Here is a 10249-nt window from a genome sequence, read left to right as displayed (position 1 = left end):
GTCCTGAGATGATCAGTGGTGAGAAGTTCAAAAAATAATGAAAAGAGCAAGCACTTAGGCGTCACAATACGCTTCTGGTATAACGCACCAAGCCGATGGAGCACAAGAATTGGTCTGGCGTCATTGTTTTATGTTCTCTGGATGTTGAAGAGTCTGATTTGCATTAGAAACCTCTGCATTCAATAAACAAAAATCAGGATAATAATGACCAAAGTACTATTTGGAACAGAAAACAAATTCAAGCAATGGGTGTTTTGCACTGAATTCATTCAAGATTTTATTAGTTAAGCTCTCACTTAGGTTATTAGGCTCAGCTTGCTTTTTATTTCACTGGCCTCAGTTACTGCAAACAAAAGGAGCCTGGTGTGTGTGTGTGTGTGTGTGTGTGTGTGTGTGTAAGCGCACGTGTATGAGAATGTCAGACATATCACACACAGGCTTTCTACATTCTTCACATTGGAAACCCATCAGCAAAAGGAAGAAGATCTGAAGGGAATGAGTGTTTTTTTTTTGTTTTTTGTTTTTTTCTGGTTTAGGGGATGGAGGGAGAATTTCTCTACATAAACAAGAAGGTTAGAATTGGAAGTCTGCTAAAAAAAATGTTAGAGCTGACCACAGGGTTGTAAATCCACTGACTGGAAGGAGGAAAAGAGAAACATTGCAAGCGACTGAAGTGTGTGGTGTGGCTGCAATGTTTGTGGGTTAGATGAGAAACAAGCGCTGAGTGAAACAGAGAAGGGGGGTGGCTGGTGTGATTTGTTTGGTGTTCAGAGCCAATAGAAATCCCAGACTCTGATAATATCCCCATGCAGCGCCGAGAGGATTCAGAGCTAAGTCTCCGGGCTCCTTTCACATCTGCAGGAGCAGCCAGCCTGGGACCGCGCGGCGCGGGGCGCGCTCTCGCCTCTCCTGCACCCTCAGCCGGCGCGCTTCTCTTATGGGCGTCTGCTGCAGTCTGGCTGCGGTCGAACTGAAAGCGGCGGCGGGAGACCAAACTTAGACCCCGCTGTGGACTAGAGAACTCAGAGAAGGCAGAGGGAGAGGGAGAGAGAGAGAGAGAAGGGACCCGAGGAGGAGGCTTCCATCACGTCATTGCAGGTACGCAGCTTGTCACGACTAACGTGACACAGACACGGTTTCTGATTTCTACCTTCACCAGGCACTTAGAATGAATTGACGTTGTTTGTTCCGTGGCTGGTCAGGACCGAAAGCCCTGAGTGGACGTCTCGCCGGTTTCACCCCGGGTAATTCAAGCTGTTGGCGTGTGTCTGGGGGCCACAAGGTTTATTCACCTATTGAATTATGCGTGGGTGTAACATAAGGACCTTCAAACTTGACCGTGATCGCTCTTTCTTTCTCTTTTAAATAACGTCAATACCAATATGTTGTCATCCCACCAATAAATACCTCTTGGTGACCGCCATTCTAATCATGACTATAGCGAGGCAAACACCATCCAATTGTTAGAAAGCGGGCTACGAACCTCTCCCACCTACCTACCAGGTTAATATCCTCCCTACAGGAATAGGAACCACAGCGGACTTCGGCAGAGTTTTGATTTTTTAAAGCATATGGCCAAGGTGCACCCGCCTCATGAGGGAAATATCACTATTATCACTACGCTGTGGTTGAAGGAGAAGAGAGAAGGGAGGTAGTTATTTTTTAACGTGATTGTCAGTGATCCTTCCTGTGTACCTGACTTATTTCTACATTGTCTTACGAGTTTAAAAATGCATTTGTATTCTGCACGCCAGGCACGTTCAGTTCCAGGATCTCACATATTACTACATTAAAAAGTCATGAATTGGAACTATCTAGTAGATGTGATAGTTGTAAGAAAATATTGATGTTTGATTTTATTTTATTTGATCCTAAAACTCATAAACTTCTATTTCTTTTTTTTTTTTATTTTGAGGTGTGGGTTTTGTTAAAAAAATCTATTTCCTGAGATTTTATCATGTTTGATTTGAAATTTTAAAGATAGTTATATAACTCCCCACCCCTTGATGACTTGTGATTAAATTAGCATTGCTTAATGAGTTCAGTCTTTCCTGGGAAAAGCCAGAGGGGACTGCAAGAAGTCAGTTAAAAAATTGGTCTTGCTTTGCAGTCTTCAAGGGCTGGCTGGTATTCATGTGGCTCTGAATCCCTATGAAAAGCGCTTTTTCTGCAGTGGAACAGATTGGGACTCCAGTACAGCCAGAGAATGGCTCTGCAGCAGGTGCAGGGGCAATCAAATACCTTACCTTTCGTCTAAACAGCACTCTTCCCAGTGGAGTCTTAGTCGATCATATCCAAACCATTCACTGATAATTCGCAATCGACTCACCATTCAGCCGTGCTTAGCTTTCAAGGTAGCCTTTGTCCCAAGACATGTGCCCGACCAAGGAAGATAAGAAAGTTATAAGAAAGGTATTTGTGTTGTATATCACAGTGGAGAATTTATATCGACCTTTTTTTGTTTGTTTGTTTTTTGTTTCTTATCAGATGAACATGTTCTTTCTGTCATTAAAGGAAATGCATGCTTAGCTCTACCATAGAGTCAGGAAAACTTCATAGTTTTTGCCCATCGACTGATCTGAATGATTTAACTGGGTGCTTTTTGAAATCGTGTCAAAGTATAGACATGGCAAGTGAATATTATATTTGGGAGAAGGCATTTTAACTTTATAGATAAATTTTTTTTCCTTTTACATCAGAAAGAAACTGTAAAGAACTGATCTGTGCAAATAAATATAAGTTAATCGACCCAACTACATTCTATTGGTAAAGAGTTGTTTTGTATGATTGTGAGCATTTGTCAATCTTTTATAAATAAAATAGCTGCAATAAGTTGGGACCTATTTCTGTCTTATCTTTCTAACTCTAAAGCAATGTTGGGTGTGTTGGTAGCAACTTTGTGAGTGTGAGACGGATTATATTCACTTTGTATAGACTAGGAGACACTGATGGCTTTTCAAAGATAAATATAAACAATGCTGTGATTATTCATTGTTTTTTGCTATCATTCTTCACCGAGAGAGGTAATCAACAGTTCATTCTCTATGAATCTTAGTAGAGCCAGCCAGAGCTTTACATACCCTCGAGTTATAAGTTTGGTAAAGTTTAAACAAGGTACATGCCTTTAAATCTCTTTAAAGTAAACATCTCTTTTTCTAATGCAAAGGAATGGTATTAGACTCTCAGTTCTTATTGATATGGAGAGGATTGGCCTGTCTGGGTCAAGGGCAGACACTGAGAGACTGCAGAGGCACAGGCACTCAACAGATTAGTTCAGCCACTTTTGTACTTCAGTGTTGCTACAGCAATTGCCCCTGTGCAACGTGCCAGGTTGCAGGCATGTTCTCAGTATCAGGGTCCTTCAAATATCTACGGACAAAAAAGAATTATTTCAACCAGGGAAAACGTGCCCAGCACTCGGCTTAAATGGGTCACACAAGACATTGTTTTGAAGGACAAGGTGTTCAATTAAAAATTAGACCTATGGTGCCATCTTCTTCTTGGATTAGCTGCTTCTTGATAGTTCTTTTGTTTCTAATAATATTAGGTATAATAGGCCTAATAATGTCTAGAATTAATTTTGATCACATGTCAGGCTAAAATGTGGTCCTCAGACTCAACACTGACCAATGACTTGAGCAGATTTCCCATCACCACCACTTCCAGTTGGAAAGATGTCTTTAAGTGGCCAGCACATTGATGGGACCCAGACGGTGTTGGCGCACTGATTTGTAGAACAGAGTCCCAGAGCCACATGGATGTTAAGGGGATGGAACGTGAGCGGGTGGAAGCACAAGGGTATAAAGTGACATGATATAAAGATTGACATGCTTCAGTATAAATCCTGGAGCCAAAGGAAAATGAAAATGAATGTATTTCCTCTAATTACCTTCAGATATAGATTTTTGATTAGCTTCAAGTATACATTTTTGATGAGACATCCTGAATATTTTAAATAAACTCTCTTGTGTTCTTAGGTATATCCCACACAGGTGTGGGGGGAAAATAAATGCATTTGATGTACTGTAACACTCCTGTCTATACAGGCCAGGAGAGGGCAGCATGCAAACTCTGAAAAAGTGATTTGATACCTCCCCCTGACCATGAGGAAGACTCCGGTCGCCAAATGGCTAAAAAATCTCCCTCCAACTTGAAGTGCCCTCTTCCCTTTGGAGAGCCAACTCTAGAGTCTTAGTAAAGGCACACCATCCAGAAGGGTTTGTTTCTATTTTGGCCTCCAGAATTGGTGCTACCTGGCAAAATCAGAAAAGCAGCAGCATATTTCACAGTGAACTCAATTTCCCTTTCTTTTAATTAGCTTTACCCTTTGAGCCTATTCAAGCAGGGGAACACTTGACCAGCTCCTATGAAATGCTAAGTTGACTTCGTCTAGAACAAACATTGTCTGCATTAAAAATATTATTCAACCTGGCTCTATAGGTGTGACTGTAAAGGCTGAGAGGAAGCTAATCTTATCATCTATGGAAAACTAGCTGCTTCTCTCTGCTTTTATGCAATTATAACACGAACCCTGGATAATGCATTGTATTTTCTAATTATGGTAGCTACGTTTTGGGAAAGTTGATGGATGTGTGACATTGTACTTAGAGTTAATAAAAATCCAGCAGCTCTGTAATGAGATTTCTCTGCCTTTGCTAGGAATTTAAATCTCATCAGCATTTCAAACGATCTTTACTTTTCTCTTATTGATAATGTTTAAAAATTAAGATTGTTCTAACATTTGTTGAATGCATACCATGTGCCAGATTAGAGTAGACACATCTCACAGATTATTTAATTCAGTCTTCACCACAGTCTCAGGAGTTTATCTTCTGCAAGTTTTACTGAGAATTTCTTGTAACCGTAACATCTGATAGCTGAGAACATATTCCTTCAGTCAGTCAGTCCTACAGGCATGCATTCAACAGATATCTATTGAGTCTCTTTGTATAATTATAAGATAATAACAATTAATCATCAACAGTATGGTTGCTTTTACTAGTATAGTCCTTTACATTATATTTTCACATACATTCTTGTGTTTAATTCCTGTATTTCACATACATTCTTGTGTTTATTTCACACATTCTTGCATTTAATTCCTGCCAGTTATTCACATATGCAAAAACAATAACAGCAAACATCTTCTATAGCACTAGCCCATCATTAAATGATTGAATTTACATATATGATTTCAATCATGATGGAATATTGATTGATTTAGTTTCAGATCCACAGGAGTGGATTTGATCAGATGTTTATCATCCATCTAATAGACGAAAAACAGATGAAAAATATTCACCCTCAGGCCCACTACTTGAGAGCAACATAGATCTGTGTAAACTTTAACTTCTCTGCTAAGAGCGTGCTCAGTGTCTGGAGGCACCATCCCCTGGCCTGCAGAGACCACCTTTCATGGTTCCTTATGAAAACTTGGAGCAATGCAGAAATATGTGTCTTCAAACATACGTATTTAAGACTTCAACTTGACCAATGGTATGGAAAATACACTTACAATGTCATTTCTATGAACTCAGAGAATGTAAACTTTGAAGGAAACAGGCAAAAAGCATCACTTTCTGTCAGAGGGTCTAATAGTATTAAGACTTTTTTTGACCTAGAAGAGAGTTATCTAGTAATTATGAAAAAAAAAATTTAACCTAAGAAACTCAGGAGACCTGGGTTTGCACCTGTTTCCATTTTTCACATCCTTGGGGAAAGTCTACACTCTCTCTTGAGTTTACTCTTTACAATGAGAAGGCGGAAGTGGCTCACTGGGCTTCATTCCAGCTGTAAACATCAATTCTACGTGCTTCCCTCTGAGAAATGGCTGACAGTTGTTAGTTAAAGAATGATTATTTGCTAAACATTTTATAGGTATCATCTAATCCTTACAAAAATCTTAGCTAGTAGTGTTATTATCCTCATTTACAGATGACATTACTAAGACTTAGAGCTTTCAAAAAGTGACACAGTCAAGCATGCTGTAGAATCATTTCAATCTGGCAGGGCTCAGTGGCTCACGCCTGTAATCCCAGCATTTTGGGAGGCCGAGGTGGGTGGATCACTTGAGGTCAGGAGTTTGAGACCAGCCTGGCCAACATGGTGAAATCCCGTCTCTACTAAAAATACAAAATTAGCCGGGCATGGTGGTGCACGCCTGTAATCCCAGCTACTTGGGAGGCTGTGGCAGGAGAATGGCTTGAACCTGGGAGGTGGAGGTTGCAGTGAGCTGAGATCGCGCCACTGCACTCCAGCCTGGGCAACAGGAGCGAAACTCCACCTCAAAAAAAAAAAAAAAAAAGAACTGTTTCAATCTTAACTCTTCCACACTTCCTCTAGTATGTTGTGCCTTCATTCACTTACAAGTACTGAAAAGATACTATGTGCATAAAGCAGTGTTCAAGATTATAGGGCATAATAGTGAAGAAGACAGTTAAGGTACCTTAAAGAGCTCAATACTAGTAGGAAAGACCAGGAATAACCTAATGATTACAGTGGTGTTTGTTGGGTATTATAACCAGGATCCTCCGAAAATCTATGGCATTGTTTTGGCCTTACTAACAAAGCCATTTGACAACACAAGTCTTTTCATTGTAATAGCTCAAATTTTTTCTTTACATCATTTCAGATATTTTTTCCACTGGAGTTTAATATGGTTTTAGTCTTCCTTGTATAATTATTTTTGTAACATGTTTACATCTTTCACTAACTTTCAAGCTCCCCTGAGGGCAGAGGCTATTTCTTGTTCTTCTTTTTATTTCTCAGCACAAAACTGATGCTTAAGGAACTATTTCTGATCTGAATCTATTGAGATCCAGCTGCAGCTAATTTAGAGCTAGGATCAGAGACTGCTGCTTATCTGCTGAAAGACACAGTCTTCAAAAAATTCTAAACACACACATCTACCATAGGCTAAACAAATGACAAACCCAGTCTTTTGTCCTGGGAACTTTTTGTTTTTTTTCTTTTTGTCTTGTGTTATTTATCCCTTATGCTACAGACTCCTAAATGTTTAAAATGATCATTTCAGTGAGAAAATAAAAATGTCATGAAAAATCAATTAATTTTTTAAAAATTTACGACTTAGACATTAAAATACTAAATCAACAATTTTGATAGGTTTTGTTTTTCCAAGTAGAAGAAAATTTATTTATTTATTATTAGAGAATGCCAAGGTGTTCCTGTAAATTTATCTGTCATTCCCCTGGGATGGCCTGTTCATAACAACCTGGAATGCACGCTGACTTTCTGGGCTCATTGCTTCCCCTTGGAAATTAACAAATTCTTGCTCAAGCAGAAGAAAATGATAAGATTACTGAAAATTCTGGAAACGCTGTGATTTTTGGATTAGAAGATTTAATTTAGGAGATGCAGGAGAGTTTTTAAGGGGACTAATTTGTTCTATGTGGTTTTCAGAGGTTAGATTTTTAAAAAATCTCTATAAGGATACTTTTTACCTTGGTGATTTTTTATTTGTTTGTTTGTTTGTTTTTTGAGACAAGGTCTCATTCTGCTGCCCAGGCTGGAGTGCAGTGGTGCAGTGGCATGATCTCGACTCACTGCAGCCTCAACCTCTCACGTTCAAGTGATCCCCCCACCTCAGCCTCCGAAGTAGCTGAGACTAGAGGCATGTGCCACCATGCCTGGCTAATTTTTCAATTTTTTTGGAGATGTTTGGAATGCTTGTTCCTTGGTGCCATAAAGAAATAGCACTTGAACATAAATTTAATATATTTAGTAAGGCCATTTTTACTTCCGTAGAAAGGGTACACTCGCCAGCAGTTTTGCCACGAGAGTACACTGAACAAAGGAAACAGGGTCATTTATAACCTGACGCATCCATCCTACTGCTGTGTCTGGTTTCCATTGGCTGGAACGGGACCTCACATTCTGTATTTGTCCCGATTGGCTAGCAACTTAGAACTTTTTAAAAGAGGCAAAGGTAGAGGAGAACAAAGGAAGGAGGAAGTAACTTGTGGAATGCTGAGAAAGGTAAAAACACTTTTAAATAAGGAAGAGGAACAGGCTATGACCTAATGCTTGCTTGGACCAGTATAAGCATGCCAGGGCAAATATTTAGGAGCACAGGTCTGAATAAATTTTGCTTCTAAGAGAAGTTACTATTTATTCCTAATTAGATGGGGAGGAAAGTCTTTGAAGAGGAACCTCTACTTTTACTTTTTACAAAGAGATGGGTCTCACCATGTTTGCCAAGCTGGTCCCGAACTCGGGGGCTCAAGCGAGCCTCCTGCCTTGGCCTCACAAAGTGCTGGGATTATAGGCGGGAGCCACCATGCCCAGCCTACTTTGGTGTTCTATAAGAATTGAGGGGAATCTGTGACATTTGATAGAAAAAAAAATTGCTTCTTGACTTCCACTTACCTGTAACTGAAATATCACATTCTCTTTAGTTACGAATGTAACAAACCACAGTAACATCAGTGGAATCACAGCTTTGTCACCAATAGAAATCAGAATTACTTTCATGTTACAGTTGATACCAGAGTCTCAAAATATCACTTACACTTACCTAGTACTTAAAACTACTTGAAAATTATGGAAGTGATCATACCTGCTTTTAGATCTCATTATTTAGTCCCTTATAAACAGGACCAGACAATTGTATATCATACATTTTATACACACACACACACACACACACACACACATACGTATAGTTATATAAAGCTGATCTAATTGGGATATTTGTCCCCTCCACATCACATGTTGAAATGTGACCCCCAATACTGGAGGTAGGGCCTGGTGGGAGGTGTTTTCATCCTGGGGGTAGATCCCGCATTAATGGCTTGGTGCCCTCCCCACGGTAATGAGTGGGTTCTCCCTCAGTGCATTCATTCACTTGAAAGCTCGTTCTTTAAAGAGAGCCCGGCACCTCCCTTCCTTCTCTCCTGCTCCCTCTCTTACTGTGTGACACCCCTGCCTCCCCTTAACCCCTCGCCGTGAGTGGAAGCCTGTTAAGGCCCTCATTAGAAGCCAAGCAGAAGATGCCAGCACCATGTTTCTTGTACATCTGCAGAGCTGTGAGTCAAATAAACCTCTTTTCCTTATAAATTACCCAGCCTCCTTGGATATTCCATGATAGCAGTGCAAATGGACTAACACAATAGCATATATATATATATAAAATACATATATAACACAATAGCATATATAAAATACATATATAATAACACAATAACATATATGTGTGTGTGTATGTATATGTATGTATATATAGCTTGCCTTGTAATAGTATATACTTTTTGAATTTAAAAACATTATTCTGAGAAGGAATCATTAAGGTTCATCAGACTTTAAGGCAGTCCATGGGGAAGAACAGGTAAAAAATCCCACACAGTAGGGCAGTAAATTTGATGTCAACCTTTCTAACACCTTCAGCTGTCTTAAATGGGATGGGTAGCCATGTGAGCCAATGAAGTTTGTGCTGGAGGGGGAGATGGATGGGAGATGGATGGGAGATGGATGGGAGATGGATGGGAGATGGATGGGAGAGGAGCCATGCCTCAGATATGGAGTTGGGCCTTGATGGTAAAACCCAACACTGAGGCTCTTTAGGCTCAAGAGAAAGAGAAGAGGAGATGTGTATCTCTTCCGTTTACTTGAATTTGCTCTAGTTTGAGTCAAATGGCTTCTATAAAGAGGGAAGAGTCCCTGAGTGTATACCTCATGCCACTTCTCTTTGTATTTGAAACTGGATGGTCTCAAGCACCAGTAATTACTTGTTGGATGAGTGAATTGAATGGCTCAAGGCCGCAGTTGATGATCAGGTGTGGCTGGTGCCCTGGAGTCACAGCCTATCTGCATGAGTTCCCATTGATAGCTCCGCACCGCACCGCATTCACCGCCTTGGAATTCTCTCTATTTTATTTTTTTTTGAGACGAGTCTCGCTCTGTCGCAGCTCTGTCACCCAGGCTGGAGTGCAATGGTGCGATCTCAGCTCACTGCAAGCTCCACCTCCCGGGTTCACGCCATTCTCCTGCCTCAGCCTCCCGAGTAGCTGGGACTACAGGCGCCCGCCACCACACCCGGCTAGTATTTTGTATTTTTAGTAGAGAAGGGGTTTCACCATGTTAGCCAGGATGGTCTCGATCTCCTGACCTCGTGATCCGCCTGCCTCGGCCTCCCAAAGTGCTGGATTTTTTTTGAGATCAGTCTCGCTCTGTCACCAGGCTGGAGTGCAGTGGCGGGATCTCAGATCACTGCAAACTCTGCCTCCTGGGTTCA

The 10249-nt window shown here is 40.6% G+C and overlaps 1 protein-coding gene across 4 annotated transcripts in view, besides 1 other annotated feature; it reads left to right on the top strand.

Moving 5' to 3' along the window:
* The window catches only part of GREM2 (gremlin 2, DAN family BMP antagonist), a 122583-nt gene continuing 113160 nt past the window's right edge, over nucleotides 827-10249 (top strand). For all 4 annotated transcript variants that reach the window (NM_022469.4, XM_011544249.3, XM_047427832.1 and 1 more), the window contains exon 1: nucleotides 827-1098. The gene's annotated coding sequence lies outside the window, so the exon portion shown is untranslated. The remainder of the gene's footprint in view (nucleotides 1099-10249) is intronic.
* Nucleotides 5624-6123: an enhancer, noted in NCBI's record as "H3K4me1 hESC enhancer chr1:240770159-240770658 (GRCh37/hg19 assembly coordinates)". NCBI's record gives its function as "activates a minimal SCP1, AML or CMV promoter by ChIP-STARR-seq in naive H9 embryonic stem cells {active_cell/tissue: H9 hESC(naive)}" and the evidence as "EXISTENCE:reporter gene assay evidence [ECO:0000049][PMID:30033119]".

Source organism: Homo sapiens, chromosome 1 (genome assembly GCF_000001405.40).
Source record: "Homo sapiens chromosome 1, GRCh38.p14 Primary Assembly".
NCBI classification, from domain to species: Eukaryota; Metazoa; Chordata; class Mammalia; order Primates; family Hominidae; genus Homo; species Homo sapiens.
This window is presented reverse-complemented; position numbering and strand designations above follow the sequence as displayed.